This window comes from Homo sapiens, chromosome 3 (genome assembly GCF_000001405.40).
Source record: "Homo sapiens chromosome 3, GRCh38.p14 Primary Assembly".
NCBI classification, from domain to species: Eukaryota; Metazoa; Chordata; class Mammalia; order Primates; family Hominidae; genus Homo; species Homo sapiens.
Window position 1 is genome coordinate 69,451,753 of NC_000003.12, and position 24,537 is coordinate 69,476,289.

A 24,537-nucleotide genomic window follows, 5' to 3' on the forward strand; every position below is an offset into this window, starting at 1 on the left:
AATGAAAAAATTATGCCAAGATAATTTAAAAAAACACCAGTCCCAGCTCTGTACTAAGGCCCTGGCAACAGCCAGCACACAGCTGTTATGAGGATGCATATTCTCTTTTGACAAAAGACAGGTGGCTGGTGGTGTCATGTTGGTCTGAGATAACATACTGTGCAGAAAGAGAGACAAGCAGGGAAGGAGAGATTTCTTTCCCAGACTCTCACATAAATGGATTTCTTCTTTGCATAATGGAGCTCTAAATAAATAAAATACAAAACAAATGTTTACAATATTGTTGAGACACTGAGTTGTTCCTCTCCAGGAAAATGGAATTCAACACGAACTTTATAATGGTAGGAGGAAGAAGCATCATCATTTATTCCTTCATATGTTCACCAGATTATTTACTAAGTGCCAGCCATGTGCAAAGCACTAGGGATGCAACAGTGATCGGAAGAGAAATAGTTTATGTCCTCACATGAAGTCTACTGGGAAAGCTGGACTATTAACAAGCATTGTAATAAGTGTGTATATACAAAGAAGAAGACAGTATTGAGGAAGCAACTGGGCAGAGGTGAAGGATCAACAGGATTGGCATGCTTAAGTAGAAAGGGCATGTGATTTGGAGCTGGTCAAAAGCGAAATCTTTTCTTGCCACTTACCGAGTGGGTGACCTTGAGCAAGTCATTTAGACTTTCTACCCCAATTTCCTTATCTGTGAAACAAAGCTAATAATTTCTACCCTGTCAGGATTATGCTAGGTATTGAGTTAAAGTTTATTAAGTTCCCAGGGAAGCCTGGCACAGAGTATGAGTTCAACACATATTTGTCAAGTGAATGAAAGAATCATTATCAAATACACATTGGATCTCTAATAGAAAAAGTGACACTTGGGCAGAGACTGATGAAACAGAGAGAAACTAGACATTAGTCTTGTCTTATACCTATTTAGAGACTGAGACTATATAGCAAATAGCAAATTCATAAAGAAGCACATTTCATGTGGCTAGGTCAGGAAGTACTCTACAACAGAACTGTCTAGCAGAAACATAACGTGGGTCACAAATGACAGGCACATGTATAATTTTCAGATTTCTGCAGCCACATTAATAAAAGTAAGAAAGAAAAATAGAATAAGTTTAGCAATATATTTAACCCAACATAGCCAAAACATTATTATTTTACATATAGCTGACGTAAGTTTATTGATACAATATTTTGCATTCTATTTTTCGTACTAAGCCTTCAAAATCCAGTGTGTGCTTTATATTTACACTACATCTCAATTTGGCCTTGCCATGTTTCAGATGCTCAGTTGCCATGTGTGGCTAATGGCTTCCATACTGGACAACACAATTCCAGAAGTGTGGGGATGGGAGAGTTTATTGAAGACACAGGCAGTCAGGTGGGCTTAGGGAAGAGATGAAGAGATGGGCTTGAGTAGATGGCCATTAAAAGACCTGATTTGGTGTTTTTAAAAGCTGTATCTATGTACAGTGCCTTGTGTTGCAGCACCTTATAGAAGCCTCTTGCATCTGGCTGGCTCTGTGTCAGGGACCTTCTGAATCTACTTCTGGTGCAGGGGTCATATTCTTGCATTTGGTCCTTACTCTCTGATGGCACCTTCAGACTCTCAGACTGTACTTTGCTTCCTGGTACCCTCTGACTTGGCACCGTGCATAGCGCCGGGCACCTGGAAAGCACATGTATGTAAAAGCAGATTTCTTGGCTGCATAATGCAGCTCTAAATAAATAAAATACAAAGTGATGCCTGGAGCTAGCCAAACTCTGGCTCTCAAAGCTGCTAGGGCTATCAGAGTTGTCCTCTAGCCTAGGGAGACACACAGAGTTACAAGTTTAAAAAATCCCAGGAATATTCCCAGTAGAAAACCAATCTCAGCATGGCTTCCCAGTGGGGGAGAGATGGGCACATGGCCTGGCTGGGGTGCATGGCATTTGGCAGAGAGGAATTGGAAAAAGGAGGAGATGATTATCTGACGCTTTGAGAGCAGGTCCTGGCCAAGTGCATTCTCTAAGGTGAAATGGAGTAAGGAAATCCATGTAGCCAAGAAAAGTGCAGTGATGTGTACCAGAAAGAAATTCAGATGATGGATAAAGGATGAGTGAGAAAAATGGATGTGAAAGGAGGGAGGCAGAAGCCTAGAAAACAAGAGTCCCCATAAGAACTTGGTATCTCCTCACTTAAGCAAGCATTGATGTGTCCCCCGCACTGGGACCCAAGCTGGATCACAGTGGTGGGCTGCACCCATGTTTGCCTCCTCCTCAGGCCTATACCATCCCACAGCCCAGGACAATCAAATAAATAAGAGAAGTAGATTGGATGAGGAGGCAGAACACATTCTCCTGCTGTATCCCCAGCGATAACAGTAACAATGAAGAAGGAGGAATTTCTGAGTGGGCTGTAATTTCTGTTCAATAGTATCATCAAAGGAACTCCTGTCCCATGTGTAGAAGGAGATACTCACTCCCTGACTTTACCCAACTAACAGCAAGTAGGAACGTTGGGAGGTGACAGCGTGCTGGCAGCCCTCGCTTGCTCTCTGCCCCTCCTCGGCCTCAGTGCCCACTCTGGCCGCACTTGAGGAGCACTTCAGCCAGCTGCTGCACCGTGGGAGCCCCTCTCTCTGGGCTGGTTGAGGCCAGAGCCACTCCCTCTGCTTGCTGGGAGGTGTGGAGGAAGAGGTGCAAGTGGGAACCAGGGCTGTGCGCCACACTCACGGGCCAGCGCCAGTTCCAGGTGGGGTGGGCTCGGCAGGCCCTGCACTCCCAGCAGCTGGCCGGCGCCACCGGCCCCGGGCAGTGAGGGGCTTAGCACCCAGGCCAGCAGCTGCGGAGGGTGTGCCGGGTCCCCCAGCACTGCCGGCCCGCCCACGCCACACTCTAATTCTGGCCAGGCCTCAGCCACCTCCCCGAGGGGCAGGGCTTGGGACTGCAGCCCACCATGCCTGAGCCCCGCAGTGGGCTCTGGTGCAGCCAGAGCCTCCCCAAAGGGCACCACCCCCTGCTCCGTGGCACCAGGTCCCATCAACTGCTAAAGGGCTGAGGAGGGCAGGCGCACCATGCAGGACTGGCGGGCACCTCCGCCCGTGGCCCCTGCGTGGGATCCACTAGGGAAGTCAGCTGGACTCCTAAATCGGGTGGGGACTTGGAGAACTTTCATGTCTAGCCGGAGGATTGTGTATGCGCCCATCAGCATTCTGTGTCTAGCTTGGAGTTCGTGGGTACAACACTCAGCACTCTAAATCTAGCTAATCTGGTGGGGACTTGGAGAACCTTTATGTCTAGCTAAAGGATTGTAAATACACCAATCAGCACTCTGTGTCTAGCTCAGGGATTGTAAATGCACCAATCAGCACCCTATCAAAATGGACCAATCAGCTCTCTGTAAAACAGACCAATCAGCTCTCTGTAAAATGGACCAATCAGCTCCCTGTAAAATGGGCCAATCAGCAGGATGTGGGTGGGGTCAGCTAAGGGAATAAAAGCAGGCTGCCAGAGGCCACAGCAGTGATAGGTTCAGGTCTGTTTACATAATGTGGGAGGTTTGTTCTTTCACTCTTTGCAATAAATTTTTGCAGTTGCTTGTTATTTGGGTCTGCACTGCCTTTATGAGCTGTAACACTCACGGCAAAGGTCTGCAGCTTCTCATCTGAGAACAGTGAGACCACGAATGCACCAGGAGGAATGAACAACTCCAGACATGCCACCTTGAGAGCTGTAAGGCTCACCGTGAAGGTCTGCAGCTTCCCTTCTGAAGCCAGCGAGACCATTAACCGGTAAGAAGGAAGAAACTACGAACACGTCCGACGGAACATCAGAAGGAACAAACCCTGGATGCACCATCTTTAAGAACTGTAATGCTCACTGCGAGGGTCCGTGGCTTCATTCTTGAAGTCAGTGAGACCAAAAACCCACCAATTTTGGGCACAAGGTGACCCCAAGTGTGGCTAGGTGTTTTAATTTTTCCAAAGTTTTAACTACGAATTTTATGCAACACTTTGTAATTCCAATTTTTTAATGTCTTTAACTGTGTTAATAAATTTTTAAACATTGTGCTGGCTCCCACTGTGTGAGTCAAAGAAAACAGACCACAGGGCTGGCAGCTTGAGACTTCTACTCTAGGTTCAGGATCCTGTTCCACCATCACCTGGCCATTTGTAGCTTCTCAGTTCCATTTTGTTCTGAGGCTTAAATCAGAACCACTTGCCATCAGTTCCATTTTGCTTTGAGGCTTAATTCAGATTATGCACATCAAGGACTTAGTTTAGTTTCTGGCACGTGGTGAAGGCAGTTAATAACTGGTGCCGAGTATCTCTAAAGAACTTGTGAGCTTTCCATCACTTATATAGGGATTGAATCACAGGATGCCCCCAGAGACAAAACATCTGAAACAGGGCTCCCTACCTCTTCCTTTCTGCTTCACAGCCAAGGTGTATGACACTTTCATTTCACTTTGTCAATTCATGAAACTCAAAGTGTTTGCACAAAGTAAGAAAAAAAACGCCAACCGAGGTAGAAGTGTAAGTTGATGTAAGTTTTCGAGAAAGCAGTTTGATCATGCTTAGCAAAAGACTAAAAAAATTCATATGCCTTTTGACTCAGCTATTCCATTTCAAGGAATTTACCCTAAGGAAAAAATGATGGTTTTTCATAAAGCCTTAGTCCCAAAAATGTTTGACAGTGCAGTCTATAATAGAAGCAATTAAGGAAATTAAATGCCCGTAAAGGAGAGATTGGTTGCAAAAGTTATGCTACACTAGAAAGCTGATTTTTCTCCATCACAGCCCCCTCATTACTTTCAGAGCACTTACTATGTTAATCGTGTCTCCTGCAGTAAACTCCAGGAAAGCAGGGTCCTTGTCTGTCTTGTTCGCCATTGTATACACCACTGTCTATGAGCTGGCACACAACAGACACTAATGAATATTTAAATACATACAAGACAGTTTACGTAGTATGATTCCATTTTTGTAAAAAAAAAAAAAAAAAGCATATGTCTGTACATTATTAGTGCTTTCCTCTAGATGGGGTCAGCAAACTAGTTCCTGGACTGGCTAAATAAAGTTTTATTGGAGCACAGCCACACTCTTTCTTTTACATGTTGTCTATGGCTGCTTTCATACTAAAATGGCGCAGCTGAGTAGCTGCAACACAGTCCATGTTGCCCACAAAACTAAAAATATTCATTATGTGGCCCTGTAGAGAAAAAGTTTGCAGACTCCTGCTTTAAATGGTAGGAGTTCGTTTTGTGCAGTCTAATTCACATACACACACACAAACGTGTGTGTGTGTGTGTATATTTAACAATGAACATGTATTACTTTTATAACCAGAAAAAGTTAAAGTTATTTTTGCAAAAGAAAGACATGAATGAAGGAACAAAGAAAAAAGAAAAGAAAGGAGGGAATTATTTATTCATGTTTACCAATACAGAAAAATGTCCACAGCAAGCAAAAATTTTAAGTATTGTATGAACAGGATGGTTATATTTTTGTAATGTCTGGATACAGGACTGAAAGGAAAAAAAGGTTAGCATGGCTGTATCTGGGTAAGGGAACTACAAATGGCTTTTATTTCCTTCTTTGTTCTTTGTTGTATTTTCTCAATTTTCCATAATAAACATGCTTTACTTTTGTAATAAGAAAGAGAGAAAATAAGTGATATTGAAGATAGAGAAAATAAAATATTAGTCTACATAAAAAGCAACAATGTTTCTACCAGTCTTTGAACATCTACTTGGGGTCCTGGGAGTGTGTCCCTTTGGGCACACTGCTTGTCATTACTGCACTCCACTAAAATGGTAACATGGCCGAGGTCGAAGTGTTAAAATCTTGTGCCACGTTTGTTTTCCCTAAATTATTTATGGTGTCCTCCAAACAGAATGGATGTTTTTCTTTATATTAAAAAATTTTTTAAAGTCCACTGAATTGTTTCTGAAGCACAGTTTACCGTTCTATCTAGATTAGAAAATATATTTAGAAAAGAAGTTTTCTGGCTTAGTAGCCGACCCTTGCGCCCACAATCACATTTCCCTAATTTCAGCCTTAGCTGAGGTTGACGGTTCTAGCAATATGGACAGCTCTCACCTCATTCTTCCACCATTTGTCTCTCTGCTTTTAGGAGGAGGTAACACCCCCAGGGGCAGCTCTCAACAATGGGGAGCATGGATAAATACCCCAGCCTCTGGGCTGCAGAGTTGGCAGAAAGGAGCCCCTGGTGCCCATAGAAGCCATCTTTCTTGGCTTTTCTCCCTCTCTTGTTCACTCTCTCCACTTCTTTCTCTTGCTTCCTGGGAATCTCCTCTCCCAAACTAGCTTCCTGCACCCAAGATCCTGTTTCAGGTTCTGCTTTGGAGGAACTCACACTAAAAGAGTTTGTAAGCAAATGGCAAATTAATAACAAAATTTACACCACAGAGCCCAGAAAGTGCTCATAGATGGAGTCAAATAGAGCTCATTAGCTTCTAGGATACATGTGCTCATTATATGACTATTGACTAGATTTTTACATTGGGTCATGTGGGCTGGGTATACGATGGTGAACTAGATAGACACAGTCTATGCTCACAGAGCATGAGGCATTAAACAACGATTATGCAAATCATATTAACAGAAAGGACAGGAAAGATGGGAAAATATAGGAAAAACTAGTCTAGTCTGAGATTTAGCATGGATTTCTGAGAAGACAACATTTAAACTGGGTCTTAAAGTAGAGGTTAGCCAAAAAGTAGGGAAGAGCTACAATGTGTCCTCAACGTACAAAGACTGAACATGGAAGGTGGACATTTGATGGGCTAATTAACCATGTTACAGGATTTGAAGATTTCAAAAAATATAGCCAGCCAAATTCTCCTCTTTCATCTGACATGGTTAAATATCCCATGAGCAGAATAAGTGTTTGGATACCTTCAGGGTATTAATTACTGAGAAGACCAGAGTTGGCCATTATGATTCAAACATGGCTTAGAAAAACACGCTTGTAATCAGAGCCAGTGTATTGGTAGATTCTACTCTTATTACCTGGGTAGAATGTGGGTCTTCCATGAGGTGGCAAAAAAACAGTCTAACCTTGAAGCTGATGGGCTGCTTAAAAAAAAAAAAAAAAAAAAAAAAGGAGTCTAATTTGCTCCAAAGACCCACCACTTCGGATTCACAAAGATGTCACTTAAAATTGGTTTGAAGAACACCTGCCTGCTGACTCACTCTGAAATGGGAAATCAACTCAGAAGAATCTGATCCTTACAAACCTCTAGGGCACACATGCTTCCTGAGACTCTGAGTCTGCTTAACTTCCTCCTAAACACACAGTGTTTTATGTGCTAACAAAATGCAATAAATACACCGTTGGTACTTCCATGTTTATGATCCACTGCCTTTTTTCTTGCAGCAATCTTGTAAGAATTTAACTTCATAGTTTTATTATTCTCACTGCATACTAATACTTCAAACATTTCAGTAAATTATGGTTCTCTGCTTCCTACTTCAGAATCATTGAACTGATTTAATGAGCTCTGTCTAATTATTGCATTTCACCTTTCTTATTAAAGTGCAGCAGTGCTTTGGCTGAAATAGCTGGTAATAGCTCAAATACTCAGAAAGGAAAAAAATGAGGATGGATAATGCAGGACTCACTACAGCTCATTTTATGCTAGATATAATTTTTAAGAATATATAGATATATGTACACCTTAATCCTCTCATACATTCATTACATATTTTTAAAATGCCTGTATGTGCTACCCACTTGTGAAAGATACCAGAACAGATTTAATGGTGCTTTCTTAGATTGGCACCTTTCTATCGAGGGCATAAAACACACTGATTAAAAACTCTGGAACCAGACTGCATATATTGAAATCTTGGCTTCACCATTAGCCATGTGACCTTGGGCAAAACAATGAACCAATCCCTGCCTCGGTTTTCCCATCTGTAAAATGAGAGTTAAAGTATTAATAGCATGTACCTCCACAGGACTGTTGTGGGCATTAAATTAGTCAGTACATACATAACATGTCAAAAGACTACCAGGAGCATAACAGGCACTTGGTAATTGTTACCTCTTTTGTGTTCCATATTGAATTGTGCTTGTCTGTAACAAACTCACAGCAACTGTAGGTGTCTCTATCTACTTATCTATTTAATTAGTTATCCATTATTTATTTTTATTTACTGTTTACCTCCATCAAATTATAGGATACATGAAAAGACAGACTAAATGCCCAGTGCCTGGCATTGTGCTTGGTTTATAGTAAGGCACTAGTAAATGTTTATTGAATGAATGAACCAAGGAATAAATGATTCTCTGTCAGCACGCACGACCCCTCTCATTCCCCACAGCCTTTCGCTTCAGAGATTTCCATCACACATGTCTATCAAATGCCATTTGTTGGAAATTCCACATGGCTTTATACTCAGATGGTGCCCGTGATAAAGGGAAGGCGTTCTGGCATGCGTGAAAGTTACGATGCCAGATGACAAGCCAATTCACTGCATTATTCATCATCACATGTTGTTGGCCAGAGAACCGACTGCTGTCTGCTGAGCCCCACAATGGTCAAGTGAAGAGGCTGATTTTTAACAGAAGGTAGTAGCATCTTTAGAGAGACACGGTGATGCAGTAGGAAGATGAGGTTTAAAAAGTGAGATGTTCCTCAGTCTTGTCTCGGCTTAGCAAGGCTGGGCAAGTCACTTCACTCTTTGGGGCTCTTGGATTACCGTATTTGTAAATGGAGGACACAAATTGTCATCAGTAATTCCCAAACTGGTTGCACACCAGAATCTTCTGGAAAGCGTTTTAAAATATAGTTTGTTTTTGGCTAGCGGGAGGCAAATTTTTAATATAAAGTGCCAGATATTCCAGGTTTTACAGGCTGTATGATCTCTGTCACAACTACTCAGACTTGACTCTGCCATTACTTAACCAAAGCAACCATAGACAATATGGAAACAAATGGGTGTGTCTGGATTTGACCAGGTTACCCACAGCACACAGCTTCCTGAGCCCTCCTCTAGGCCATCTGTGGCCTCCAAGCATAAGGGTCAGTTCTCTGCATATTTACAAAAGCTCCTCTAAGTGACTTCAGCAGCAGAGATGTTTGTGAACTACCAGATTACGTGATCTGTAAGACTCCTTCCAGCTCTAATTGGAGCTGAGATTCTACATTTCTTATTTTCACCATGAGAAATGGCTATTCTTGGTCAACACTATCTAGACAATAATTCTCATATTCTTTCAAATGCATCACATTTGGATATTAGCATTCTACATCTGAAGTTTTTGGTCTCTCAAAATTCAATTTGCTACTCTACCAGGAAAAGTTTGAATAGTTCTTTCAATTGTGTTTAGATCTAAAGCAGCTCTCTCTGCGTGTGATATCCCCTGTCAGTTCTTTGTAAATGACATTTTCATTGTTAAGTTGCAAATTTGAGGTTTAATATTATCTCTTTTAGGCAATAAAGCAGCACAGTACACACCTCCACTTTAAGAAACAATAACACATAAAAATGTGAAATTGGTGAGGCCTGGTGGCTCAGGCCTGCAATCCCAGCACTTTGGAAGGCCAAGGTGGGCCGAGATTGCTTGAAGCTGGGAGTTCGAGACCATCCTGGGAAACATAGTGAGACCCCCCCCATCTCTAAAATAAATAAATCAATAAATAAAAATAACCAGGCTGGGCAACATAGTGAGACCCCCATCTCTAAAATAAATAAAAATTATCCAGGCATGGTGGCGCACGCCTATAGTCCCACCCACTCGAGCAGCTGAGGTGGGAGAATCACTTGAGCCTAGGAGTTTGAGGCCATAGTGAGCTGTGATTGCATCACTGCACTCCGCCCTGGAGGACAAAGTGAGACTCTGTCTCAAAAAAAAAAAAAAAAAAAAAAAAAGAAACAGATCATGGACTCTTAAAACAAAAAGTGAAATTATGAAACAGTTAAGGGGTGTTTATAATATTTGGCCCAGGCTAGGATTTCCTTTGTATAGAGAACTTCTTTTCTACTGAAATCATGACTGTCAGGTAACAATATATCCTGGATTTTTCCAGGACGGCCCCAGTTTTTACCTGTTGTCTCTGAGTAATTAACAGAGTGCCACTTTCCCTCTCAAAAGTGTCCCGTTTGGATGACAAATAACATGGCATCCTTCCTGTAGGTGAAACAGCCAAAATGATTGCTCCATTTATTTTATACTTAGTAAGAGGCAGGCCTGCTCTGGGGGCCTTCTCTATATTATCCCAATGAATCCTCACAATATTTTGCTTACGGGTGATATCCTGAGGTTGGGTCTTTCAAAAAGCAGATGCTGAGACAAGGAGTCAGGGAGGAGGATTTTTTCTGGGAAATATTACCAGGAAGCATAGGTAGGGAAGTGAGGAATGGAGTCAGGGAAGGGAAGGATGCCAAAACATGGTGTCTTCGTGAACAGTAACCAGAGCCGCAAGTAACCAGAGCTCAGTCTTGCCGGGAACTGTCTGAGAGACTGTGTGAGCATGCCTCAGAATGTTCCCATGGAGGGGCTAGGAGGCCGCAGTTTTATCCTGCAGTTTTACTCCTCATTGGTTGAGGGTCACTCCTGGAAATGTTCCCTCTCTTTCCCTGATGTCTGGCCTGTCCCATAGCAAGAAGCAGTTCACTTCTGTGGCTAGAGAAAGCCCTCAGGTAAAAGACACAAACAGCCTTGTCAGGGTGCATGAGAACTGTCTGAAGACAACTTCTGGGGTAGGCCCAGGGCCACTAACAGCACAGCTACAGGGAGACTGAAGCTTGGTAAGGTTAAGTCACTTGCCCAAAGCTACATAATTGGTGAGTGGTGGAGACAGGATCTTGACTCATGCATTCTGGCTCTGCACAGCTTACCCTTAACCATGCATAGAACTCCCTGTGCCTACACCTGAGTCACTTGTGCATCACCCAATATCTGTGCACTGGCCTTGTTTCTGGCCTGAGAGGCCCTGGCAATGGCTTGCTGTACAGCCAGGTAGCCAAGGCCTCTGCCACAGTCACCAACTGAGGTACTTGTGGCAGGCGATTCCTCCTGGCCTCTCAGGGAAATGACCAATGAACTCTTCTTCCTCTCTCCCCCTGCACTGCTCAGAAGCATAATAATTTCATATGGCTTCTCCCAAGACACCCCTGGAAGACCATGTAGTCAGCTTGTCACAAAGCCAGCTTTCTCATCTATGATGCACTTCCTTGTATTCACCTCCTTGCCCTCCCTGCTCACTCCTTCTTATTCACACTCACACCTGCTTCCCTGGGATTGCACTCCCCAATAAAGTGCTAGTACCCAAGCTTTCATTTTGTAATGGAACATAATCTGCATGCAGTAAGTTTTGACAAATGCCTACACCTATGTGACCCACCCTTGCATCCAGATCTAGAGCAACCATCAGCCCAGGAAGTTTCCTTAGACCCCTCACCAGTCAATCCACTCTTCTCACATTCCTAGGCAACCACTGTTCTGATTTATTTCAGTATCAAGCTTTACCTGTCCTAGAATATCAAATAAATGACAATCGTAGAATCTAACACATACAGTTTTGCCTGGGGGATCTGTTTTCCAGGGAACCTGGGTGAGGACTTACCTCTAACTTGGTATATTTTGAGTTTTTCTCATAATTCTGGTCCATTGAAGTACACATACCATATACCACTTCCAGGGTAGACCAAAATAATTACAAATATTGGTATTTAAAGTTCACGATCAAAACATTTTCATTTAATGAGTGATATTCAAAGCAATGACCTCAGTGCATTATAGATCCTAATTTTTTATCTTCATTATAAGTCTTTAGGATAGCTATTATCTTTGGCTTATAGATTAGGAAACTAAGTCTCCAGTTAGGCTGAGTAGTGACTTGAGATGACACAATGTAATAGAGGCAAGGTTGGGATTTGAGCCAGACTGCATCTGCCTCCAAGTCTTATGCTCTTTCATAAAATACTCTACATATAAGTTATCTGAAGAGAAACTCCCTATTAGTAACCATGACTCTACGGAAATCCATAAGCAAACTTTGGCTCATGATGCATAAAGCTAAAGGGACAAGGAAATTTGCAAAAGGAGGGCTCTCTCTGCACAAAGAAATGACTGCCTCATCTCCTGAGTACAGCTTTGAAAGGCTATTAGAGATCCACCCAGTAGAAAGATTACTGGGTATCACAGAAGATGATTGATCACTTATTCCCACAGCAGGCAGGTTGCTGAAACACTACCCTGGAAGCCAGAGGGAGTAAACTGTGAATAAGTGAAGCCTCACCTTGATCCATTTGGAAAAGTACAGTACACCCTTTACTTAACTCGTACCCATTCAAACATATTTATGGGGCAACTACCACGTGCAGACTCTGCTGCTCTCAATTCTGAGGTTATAGCAGCAACTAAGGCTGACTTTCTGAATAAATGATCAACTGATTTGTATTAAACTTTTGCTTATAGTAATTTAAAATACATGCTGGTAACTTTTTTTGCCCATTAATACCTATCCTGTCAGAAATGGGAAGGGTATGTTGGCCAGGAGGTTTTCTGGTAACAGGACAGAGGTATTTTTTGACCATTTAGAGTGCCTTGGAAATATGCTAGCTTGGCAAGTGAGTGCAGTAGGATAACATAACATTATCAGCGCCCTTACCCATAGACTGTCTGCAGGCCAGAAAGTAAACTGTCACCTATATATGATTTCTAAGGCAGATAAGGCCTGGAAATGGTGTTTTTCTTTCTTCTTTTCTCTAAAACATGAAACTAGGACTACAGATTAAGTAAAGACCATGTGATACTCAGTATGCAATGGTTTGCAAATGTTTTAAATGTGGAGACCCCTTTCTTATAGAAGTGGTCCTTCTAGGACAGGAGGAAAAAAACTGACAGAATTAGAATATCACTATTTCACAGCCCTTAATGAATTAATGGATCCATCACTGATTGCCAATATCCCCGAGTGATCACCTGATGCAATGGGGCTCCTAAGGGAACAACACACCGTCAATAAATTAGTCTTCAGAAAACAAAATTGAACCTGAATCTTAACAACTATCTCGATCCAACTACCAACAAGCATCAAACAGAACACTGAATTACAACACGGCAATGAAATTAGCAAAATCCAGACTGTGAGAAACTCTGCAGGTCAAATAACCAATTTTCTTCAATGTCTAAACTGCAAGGGGAAATAACAAAGAGATGGAGGGAAAACTTACAGATTAAAAGAGGCTTTACAGACATATCAACCAATCCCCAAAAGCTGATGTTATTTGGACCTTAAGTCAAAAACAATCTTCATCCAGGCGTGGTGGCTCACACCTGTAATCCCAGCACTTTGGGAGGCCAAGGCAGGCAGATCATGAGGTCAGGAGATTGAGACCATCCTGGCTAACATGGTGAAACCCCGTCTCTACTAAAAATGCAAAAAATTAGCCTGGCGCCGTGGCAGGCACCTGTAGTCCCAGCTACTTGGGAGGCTGAGGCAGGAGAATGGCATGAACCCAGGAGGCCCAGGTTGCAGTGAGCCGAGATTGCACCACTGCGCTCCAGCCTGGGTAACAGAGCGAGGCTCCGTCTCAAAAAAAAAAAAAAAAACCTTCAGGAAATACAGAATTCCATGAGACATTTAGGTTAGCATTGACTGGATTATTCTTTCTTTAAAATTATTATTATACTTTAAGTTCTAGGGTACACAACATGCAGGTTTGTTACACAGGTATACATGTGCCATGTTTGCTTACTGAACCCATCGACTCATCATTTACATTAGGTATATCTCCTAATGCTATCCCTCCCCCAGTCCCCCAGCCCCCGACAGGCCCCGGTGTGTGACGTTCCCCACCCTGTGTCCATGTGTTCTCATTGTTCAATTCCCACCTATGAGTAAGAATATGTGGTGTTTGGTTTTCTGTTCTTGTGATAGTTTACTGAGAATGATGGTTTCCAGCTTCATCCATGTCCCTTGCAAAGGACATGAACTCATCCTTTTTTATGGCTATATAGTGTTCCATGGTGTATGTGTGCCATATTTTCTTTATCCAGTCTATGACTGATGGACATTTGGGTTGGTTCCAAGTCTTTGCTATTGTGAATAGTGCCGCAATAAACATATGTGTCCATGTGTCTTTATAGGAGCATGATTTATAATCCTTTGGGTATACACCCCGTAATGGGATTGCTGGGTCAAATGGTATTTCTAGTTCTAGATCCTTAAGGAATTGCCACACTGTCTTCCACAAATAGTTGAACTAATTTGCATTCCCACCAACAGTGTAAAAGCCTTCCTATTTCTCCACATCCTCTCCAGCATCTGTTGTTTCCTGACTTTTTTTTTTCTCATTCTAAGTGGCATGAGATGGTATCTCACTGTGGTTTTGATTTGCATTTCTCTAATGACCAGCGATGATGAGCATTCTTTCATGTGTCTGTTGGCTACATAAACGTCTTCTTTTGAGAAGTGTCTGTTCATATCCTTTGCCCACTTTTTGATGGGGTTGTTTGTTTTTTTCTTGTAAATTTGTTTAAGTTCTTTGTAGATTCTGGAAATTAGCCCTCTGTCAGATGGGTAGATTGCAAATTTTTTTTTCCATTCTGTAGGTTGCCTGTTCACTCTGATGATAGTTTCTTTTGCTGTGCAGAAGCTCTTTAGTTTGATTAGAAACTGGATTATTCTTAAATGTTAAAGGTATGAGATTGTTTTTGTGGAAAAACAGTCCTTATCTTTTGAGGATACACACTGAAATATTTTCAGAAAAATAATGTGATATCTGAGATGTGCTTCAAAATAATAAGGAGGGGAGAAATAGGGTACTAATATAGCACAGTTGGCCATGAGTTGATAATTGTTGAAACCTGCATGCTGGATACAGGAATGATAATCATACATTTTGCCTTTGTTTATGTTTGTATTTTCTCACAACACAAAGTTAAAACCAACAAACAGAAAAGCAAAACCTTTTCTTTTCTTTTATTTTTGAGACAGGATCACTCTGTCACCCAGGCTGGAGTGCAGTGGCTCAATCATGGCTCACTATAGCTTTGACCTCCTAGGTTCACTGATCCTCCCATCTCAGGATCCTGAGTAGCTGGGACTATAGGCATGTACCACCACACCCAGCTAATTTTTTATTTTTATTTTTTTGTAGAGTCAGGGTCTCACCATGTTGCCCAGGCTGATCTTGAACTCCTGGGCTCAAGCCATCTGCCCACCTTCTCTTACCAAAGTGCTGGGATTACAGGCTTGAGCCACTGTGCCCGGCTAGAAGTCTTTTAAAAAATAAAACCTTAATTAGAATCCCCGCCTTCTAGGCAAAGCAAAAGTTAGAAAGCCAGAACATGCTTATTTGTCTCCATCTCTCTCCCCCAGAGGTCCCACTGTATTTTCTAAGGCACTGGTAAGATGGAAAAAGAATGGGCTTTGGAGCCAATGAGAAGTGGAGGTACTGTTTGGGTCTGCAATTTGACATGTCACTTTGGTTCTCCAAGCTCAACTTTTCCATCTCTGGAAGGAAGCTAATAAAGCTAGGAAATACTTCACCAAGAAGCACTTGTGACTTATTAAGAGAGCTAGCATTTGAGCGGTAACTGGCATGATTTGGACCCAAATCCATCTGCCTCTTAAAATCCATGCTCACAACTACTACATCACACAGTCTTCTAGAGTGGCACCTCACTGTTTGTGAATTGGCTATGGAGATTCACAGCCAGTAGAGACCTAGGTTCAAAAAAAATTGTTTCGCTCACTGTAGGCAGTGAAACCTGTGGTTCCCCAAATCAAGCTTCCCTTGTTTCAATCCCTGCTCTCCCATTACCAGCTACATGACTGTGAGCAAGTCACCTGACCTTGTCAAGCCTCCATTTTTAAATCTGTAACATGGGTTAATAAAAGAATGTGCCTAGGGTTTTTTGTGAGAAATAAATGACATAATCACAACCATAGTGTCTCAGCTCTTCTCAATCCTAGTATATACCTCCCAACTCCAGAAGAAGAATATGACTAGTCTGTCCAAGCACCACATTCTCCTGATCATGACTCGTTTAGGTACGGGTACAGAATCCATGCTAGGTAAATGGGATCCTAGCAGGGGACCTTCTGCTGCAAATACTAAAAAGGAGGGTGCTCTTTCCTTTTGGACACTGAAGAAATAGGAGTCAGCCAGGAACTGTTGACCAATGTGGAAAAACGCAGAGCCAAGGGATACACTCACCTGGGCCTGAAGCTACCCTGAAAAGTTTCAGTCACACCAGCAAATAAATTCTTCTGTTGGTGTAAGCCATTCTGAACTGATTAACAGAGTTTTTGACAAAGAGCAAATGTGCAATAAATGTTAGCTATCACTTGAAACATGAAAACAGATCAAATTTTTCCTGCTACCTTACATTCTGTTGCTTTGCTTGGGTTATTTCTTTTTATTTAAAGTTTTTTTTTAAATTACAGGTCATTTCAGATATATGCAAAAGCAGAGAAAAAAAGTATCACGGATCCTCATGAACTCCCAACAATCATCAATTCATGAATAGTCTTGTTCGGACTATGTCCCTCCTACTTATTTCCTTTTTCCCTTTTCATTTATATTTTTCAGATCCTTTTATAGTGTTTTCTTGTGTAGTAGACACTGTTGGTGGCCTACCCATCACTCATTTCCCAAATATTCCACTCAGTGATGTTTATTTCTTAAGCTCTCTCATGCAGCCAGAGATATGGACCTGTTTGTATTTAAATCCCAGAGATGGACCTGTTTGGTCTAGGGGTAATTTCATTCCCCTGGTCAGTAACAGGGTCAGAAATGCAATAAATATTGGGTGTTGAAACATGAAAGGGACACTACTGGGGAAGGGAGATACTTATGGACAATTTTCTGCTCTTAAGGAGCAGCCACAAAAAATTGTCTCTCTTTTTCCTTTGACTGCTATCCTGTCTGGATGTGATGCTCAGAACTGGAGCAGCTATATTTGCTACTAGTCTGAAGATGAAGCTATTACCAAAGATGACAGAGGACAGGGGGAATGAAGCTGAGACCTTAATAATATTATTGAGCGACTGAATCAAGCAAGTCGAGGGACTGCTCCACCTCTGGACTTGCTGTTCTGAGAGTTAAAAATCTGCTTCATTGTGTAAATATGTTTGAGTCCAGGTATCTGTTAATTGCTGCTGAAAATAACCAACTTTGCCATCAATACAGACCTATGGCCTGTATAGTCCGAGCTTCAAAAGCTGAGTAAGGAATCATACTGGGATGATGTAACAAAGACACCCTAAAATACAGTGACTTCAACCAGAGATAAATTGATTTCTTTCTCATGTTAAGAGTTTGCAGAGGTGTTCCTACCAAATCCCTTTAAAAATAAAACCCATAAATTAATCTCACACATCTCACTTAGTGACATGGCTGCAACCAATTGCAAGGGAGGCTCGGGGATGTAGTTGTTATTCTGGGTGGCCATTTGCCGGTTCTATTACTACAAGGAAAAGGTAGAAATAAATATTGTAACATAGCTACAGTGGTCATGAGGCGTCATCAGAATGCAGTATAGGAAGTCTCAGCTAGAGAAGAAGCAGAGAGGGTTAATTTGATTTGGTTCAACTGACTCTTTAATTAAAACAACTCAGAAATGTAAGCAAAATTCAAAAGAAATGTTCTTAAGTGCCTCCCTACATGACTTAGCAGAACGTATTTACTTAGATATAGGTAAAACTACACATCCCTTTCATCTCTTCTTTTTAGGTGAATCCCAGAAGGATCTCAGCAATCAGCAATACTTTGTTGGCCCAGTTTATTACCTTGTGTATGTGAAATAACTGAACTTCATTGATTTTCCTTGATTTCAAATCTCTTTTCCTCAGTTAAACTGCATGAGAGTGGTTCAATTATATTTTGCTCACTGGTCACCAGAATCCCATAGCAAGCCCCTACTCCACAAGATTATTATTAATCACAGTAATTCAATTTATGGAAAATTAAAGACAGACAAATAGAGAAAAATGATAGTGCTAAGAGCACAGTATTCTACAGCCCAGCTGAAATGGCTGTTGATAAAGGTTTTATATAGTTAAGATACAAGCGAGACTTTGATTTAGCGGCAGCAGGTTTTAAATGATGCATGAGAAGCCACCAAAGCAAATCCCTTTCTCTATGGTCCCCTCAGGGTCAAGTACCTTGTTTCAATTATAATTTCACCAAATTGCTGTGTTGCAGCGAATGTTTCAGATTAACAGCAGTATAGCACAGTTCTCTGTGGGACAGAATCAGAAAATCTAGTTCAGAGGTTTGTTGAAATACACCCCAAGACACCCAGATGCAAAACACATTAGAGACTCCAAGATGATGGGAATATTTTGGATCGGTATTCTCCAAAGAGATTACTTTTGCAGAAAACAAGTTTATTATTTATGGTGGTAAATAAGATTTCTCAGTGCAGCCAAAGAGGTTTCTTGCAATTACATTGAGAAGGCACCACAGTGCAGTCCATTATGGAAATCATATTTACATTAATAGAGAAAGCTTTTGTTTTGCCAAAATGTGTATTTCTTTTTAAAGCATACTCATGATGAGTTTGGAAGGGGATACTAAAACGTTTGGTTTGTCTTTTCATTCCAAATGACTCTATTCCTTGGAGAAGCATTTTGTATAGTAAAACACCATTTTGCAAGTTCTACTTCAAATTACCAGTCCAGTTTTTTTTAATTTAATGCTTTATTTGAGAAGAAATAATTTCAATTCTAGGTGGTCTTTGGTATGTCCAAAGAACAAAGAGAAGTATGTCCAAAGAACAAAGAGGGTTTTATTTAGAAAGAAGAAAGTTACTTGTGGTCTTCAGAGAAAGTTCATTGGTATTAGTAAAGCTCTGGGGAGCTGGTAAGCTCCAATTGGTGGGCAATGGCCATAGGTAAATTAGTCCTAGAGTTGCAACAAGTTATCTCTGCAGCTGTAGACAAAACTGGTCTCAGGCTACAGCAAGCAGTTTCAGTAACCAGGCTCAAAGAGAACTACATTCCTAGGGCAATGTTAAGTGTCCTAAGTACTTTTTCCCCCTAGCTTTTCGAATCTGTTTTATTTGGGCATGACAAGATCTACCCAATTCATATGATCAATTTGCACAATTATAATAAGAGAATCAACATTTTATGTAAGCACTTAGGCTAAATAAGTAGTAGTAAAACCATCCCACATGGCCGACAGGCTTGAAACAATAGAATTTAGTCAAATAATGATTAACTGCATCAGAAATACTGTCCACCTAGGTAGTTTCCTAAGTGATTTTTGCCAACACTCTAATTCTACACGCAGTAAACACAAACTGTAAATGTTAAGAAATTGCCCATGGCATAAGAGTTATCTTCCAAACTTCTCATATGTTAAGGCTACTTTTTTTCTAATCATTTGAAGTTACAGAGAAGGTAAGATTCTTTCAAGGGGTTTGGTGAGTTTTTTTCAAAGTTTAATTCCTTAGATAATATCTTTGTAATCAAATAGACCGGGCTAAGTCCCAGCCTCATTCCTTGTCAACTGGATAACTTCAGAAAAGTGTTTTAACTTCTTCAAATGCTAGTTTCTTCCACTATAACATGAGGATAGTAAACACTGATCATGAAGGGTGATCATAAGGATTAATGAGATAAGGTGTGTAAAGATAGCCTCACTCATGGCAACGGTCACTGCTCAGCAAGAGAATGTAGCCCTTATCACTATATTGCTGAGATTTTATTAACTAACCTTTTGCCCTATTAATTTCATGACCCCTTTTAAAAATAGGTAAGCGTCAGAAGAAGATCCTATAATGTCAATGTGTGTCCTATAAAGGTTAATTAGGACTCCAAGATATCTCAAACTTAATTGTTCATATGCCCATTTAATGATTTTCTCTCTGTTTTCCTTTTTTCCCCCCCAAAATACATGTCTCTTTTCTAAGCTCTAAATGAAGAGCATGTGACCATTCCTCAATGAGCTCTGTTACATGTTTTGGATTGTTTGGTTGAGAACGGGCTTGAGTACTTTTTAGACAAATTGTGGTCATTTCACCATCCACTCTCTTCTGACTCAGAATATGGAATTTGTTCAGTGCGTTTTCAAAAAATCCACATTTCTGTTTCAGGTAAAGAAAAACATCTGTGTTGGGCAGAAGTATTTCTCCACTTCTAGTAGTCTCAGGTACTAAGGTCCCGACTGACTCCAAAGAGTTATTGCCTCTCTATAGATTCCTTTGGGGGCTCTATTTATTCTACTTTCTCCCCTCACTGGTGAAAGTTGTCTTTTTTTTTTTTTTATAAAAGAGAACTTGCTTTTACTTGCAAAGATTATTTGAGCCTCTTTGACAGCTAGAAATGATCCTTCCATGGAAAGTCTTCCACTAGCTTCCAAAGGACTAAAGCTTAAAGTTGGGAATTTCTTTTTCAGGTTCATTACCAGAATTTCTAGAGTAACTTCACTTCCAAAAACAGAAAGATCAAGGATAGCATTTACAGAGCTGAAGATCTTGTGACTAAAATGAGAGACTGTGAGTTCAGCATGTCCAGCCTTCCTTGTTGGCTGTTGTTTATGTCTGATGACATTCTCTGCAACTTTTTTTTTCTTTGCATATTACAGATGCAACTCCCTGGGATTCTTGTTGGATATATCACATCTTCAACATCTCCACCCTCATTCTTAATATCTTGGAAGTGCCTCTTCACTAATATGGCCAATAATTAATCACTAAAAAGGCCAAACGGAAGACCAGCCAGTACAACCAGTTGTAGTTACAACTGTTCTTTCAAAGCTTTGGATTCCTTGACATTCAAAACTGATGCCCTTTGGATGTTTCCACTTCTGGCCAATGCACCAAAATGTTACAGTTTTGCCAATGCACCACAATGTAGCAGTGTCTCATAGCCAATAGCCGGAGATATCACCCAGAAGTTCTCTGTTTCACTACCAAGAAAGTTAAGGAGTGTGGACACCAAGGGTGAGGTTGGAGCGAAAGTTTAATAAGCAAAAGAAGAAAGCTCTCCGCTGCAGAGAGGGGACCCGGAAGAGGGGTTGCCACCAGTCCAGTGTTAAGAGGACATCCCATGGGGACTTGCCATGGGTCAAATGTTCAAGTATTACCATATTGGTCATATTGGGAGTAGAGGGCTCCAAAGGACCAGAAGTTTTATCCATAGTGATGGCTGTAGTAGCATATCCAAGGCTTCAAGTGAGTCTTTCTTTTTTTTTTTTCTTTTTTTTTTTTTTTGGCTTAGGGGGTGGAATCTTATTTTTGACTAATTCCCTCTGGGCATTATTTCTAAAGGAGAGAAATTTAAGATCTAACTTCCATATAGGGGGGTTATGCTCATTAATCCCACTCCTTATGATTGTAAATTGAAGAGAAAGGATGTTCCCCAAAGGAATGAAGGTTGGAGGAAAACCTTTAGCCCTTCTTTTCAGAAGTAATTTATCTGACAAGGATGGCAGAAGACCAATTATTGGCATCTGCTTTCTTTGGCCTTCTCTCTTCCTATACTCCATACCTCCAGCAAGCACTTATGTATTCTTGGGCTTGACAAGGGTGAGGTCAGGTGCAATCTTCTATCCAGCTGATGGCTCTGTCCACTCTACCAAGTCAACTCTTCCCAAGTTTAGGCTCCAAAGTCCAGTTACAGGGTTAGAATAAATAAAGGCCAATTCGATTTCCAGTCTAAACTGCATTCTACAATTTGGCTTCATTGGCAATGCAGCACGTATCTGAATCTCCATCTCACTCCTCATTCTGAACTTGGAGATTTGATTGTCTCCCACAAAGCCCAGACCTCATATGGTTTTCATATAGCCATCTTGCATTTGACCCTAATTTACCTCTCCAGCCATATCAATCTCTCTTTTAATCATCCAAGTATATATACTTTTATTTTCCCAACATCCTTAGGTTTTTGTGTCCATTGAAGATTTAATTGGTGGCTTATAATCCATCCATGTGGGCATTCACAATGATTTTTAATAATGAGTTTAATACAACTAATATAATTTATGAAACTCTGTCGTTGCTGAATATGACATAAAAATTTAGGTGAAAAGCAAAGTAGCTTTGGGCAAGGGGTTGAAGAAGTGACCCTACACAAGGTTAAGTCAATAAGGAGAAAACCCAGTAAATCCAACAAGAGAAGGCTGCTTCTACTAGTCCCACTTCTAACAAATGTTATTGATCTTTCAAGGGTTTGCGCTTAGGCTGCCCAGGCTTCTCCCATCCCAGCCGTATCCCATCCTGCCATGTAACTTGTCTTCTCCCTCTTTTCCAACCTTCCCTACACAATACAAAAATTAGAGATGCCCTACCGTCATCCAAGTTCTCTTCTAAACTGCAAATGCCCAAGGGATGGTAAAGCCCATCAGTGATTTATGCAATGGTCTGAATTACTTGCTCTCCTCTATTTTCTCATCTTCAGCCTGGTCTTAGCTCATGTATTGCTACAGAATCTTGAATACATGTGACAGAAACCTGTTTTAGCAAACCAAAGTTAATAAGAAAGAAAGGAAGAAAGAAATGTATTTGAAAGGCTTTAGATAGCTCCCAGAATTAAAGGCAGAGTGAACAATACAATTCTGGTAGAGTAGGAACCAGGGTATATCTGGGGAAACTCAGCAGCATGAAGTTGCAAATGGTCATTCCAAAACTACCATCTGATGACGCTGAGTTAAGTTCCTGAGTATTGCTGCTCACTTCCTCATATTATTGTTCTAGTGTGTGTTCCAAGGGGAATTGGGGATGGTTCTGTGACTGACAGTTTATTAAAATCCCCAGCCCAAAGGAAGGAAAGCCAGGGAAACAGTGGAGTTCCTGGTAGTTCATCTATGAGCATTTCTGCCCCAAAAGCTACAAGTCTAAATGCTTCATATATTATTACAACAGCAAATGTTGAACACTGCAAAAACCAAAGAATTACAATTAGAAGATATGTTCCAATACCTTGATTGCTTTAAACACTGGAGCATTGCTGCCGATCTTGTGTGCTATTACTCATCCATTCAGTCACCATTTAGGTATACTAAGCACATGCCACACAAGGGGCAAGAGTGAACAAGATAGACAGGGTTCCTGCCTTCATAGAGACTACTGTCTGATGTGGAAGACGGACTGTTTAACAACCCCTTAAACCAGGGATAAAATGCTATCAAAGGGGAAAGAGAGGATGCTAGGAAAGCCTATAGACAGAGCAATTCATGTGGTCCAGGAATTCTAAAGGCTTTGGGAAGAAGCGGCTTTCAAGCTTAGACCAAAAGAATGTGTTTGAGGGAAAAAGGAAATGTCTTGCTGTTGGTTCCCAAATTACACAATACATAGCAACGTGACCTCGGGTGTGTGCCCTTACCTCTTAGGGCCACAGTTCTTAATCTACAAAACAGGGCCAGGTTATTACTTACCTCACTAGTGCTGTTGTGAGGATCACAGTCTGAGGTGTCATAAGCTAATTTCCTGACCTGTGTTTCTATTTTTTCTTTTTCTTTTTTTTCTTTTATTATTATTATACTTTAAGTTTTAGGGTACATGTGCGAAATGTGCAGGTTAGTTACATAGGTATACGTGTGCCATGCTGCTGTGCTGCACCCATTAACTCGTCATTTAGCATTAGGTATATCTCCTAATGCTATCCCTCCCCCTTCCCCCCACCCCACAACAGTCCCCAGAGTGTAACGTTCCCCTTCCGGTGTCCATGTGTTCTCACTGTTCAATTCCCACCTATGAGTGAGAATATGTGGTGTTTGGTTTTTTGTTCTTACGATAGTTTACTGAGAATGATGATTTCCAATTTCATCCATGTCCCTACAAACGACATGAACTCATCATTTTTTATGGCTGCATAGTATTCCATGGTGTATATGTGCCATATTTTCTTAATCCAGTCTATCATTGTTGGACATTTGGGTTGGTTCCAAGTCTTTGCTATTGTGAATAGAGCCGCAATAAACATACGTGTGCATGTGTCTTTATAGAAGCATGATTTATAATCCTTTGGGTATATACCCAGTAATGGGATGGCTGGGTCAAATGGTATTTCTAGTTCTAGATCCCTGGGAATCGCCACACCGACTTCCACAATGGTTGAACTAGTTTACATTCCCACCAACAGTGTAAAACTGTTCCTATTTCTCCACATCCTCTCCAGCACCTGTTGTTTCCTGACTTTTTAATGATTGCCATTCTAACTGGTGTGAGATGGTATTTCATTGTGGTTTTGATTTGCATTTCTCTGATGGCCAGTGATGATGAGCATTTTTTCATATGTTTTTTTGGCTGCATAAATGTCTTCTTTTGAGAACTGTCTGTTCATGTCCTTCACCCACTTTTTGATGGGGTTGTTTTTTTCTTGTAAATTTGTTTGAGTTCATTGTAGATTCTGGATATTAGCCCTTTGTCAGATGAGTAGGTTGTGAAAATTTTCTCCCATTTTGTAGGTTGCCTGTTCACTCTGATGGTAGTTTCTTTTGCTGTGCAGAAGCTCTTTAGTTTAATTAGATCCCATTTGTCAATTTTGGCTTTTGTTGCCATTGCCTTTGGTGTTTTAGACATGAAGTCCTTGCCCATGCCTATGTC

General features: G+C 41.0%; 1 protein-coding gene and 1 pseudogene across 5 annotated transcripts in view, besides 1 other annotated feature; both read right to left on the minus strand.

Moving 5' to 3' along the window:
• Window positions 1–24,537, minus strand: part of FRMD4B (FERM domain containing 4B) — a 373,805-nt gene that overhangs the window by 282,971 nt on the left and 66,297 nt on the right. The gene's annotated exons all lie outside the window — the stretch shown is intronic.
• Window positions 10,682–11,182: an enhancer, noted in NCBI's record as "H3K27ac hESC enhancer chr3:69511585-69512085 (GRCh37/hg19 assembly coordinates)". NCBI's record gives its function as "activates a minimal SCP1, AML or CMV promoter by ChIP-STARR-seq in primed H9 embryonic stem cells {active_cell/tissue: H9 hESC(primed)}" and the evidence as "EXISTENCE:reporter gene assay evidence [ECO:0000049][PMID:30033119]".
• Window positions 18,673–20,777, minus strand: RBM43P1 (RNA binding motif protein 43 pseudogene 1; annotated as a pseudogene).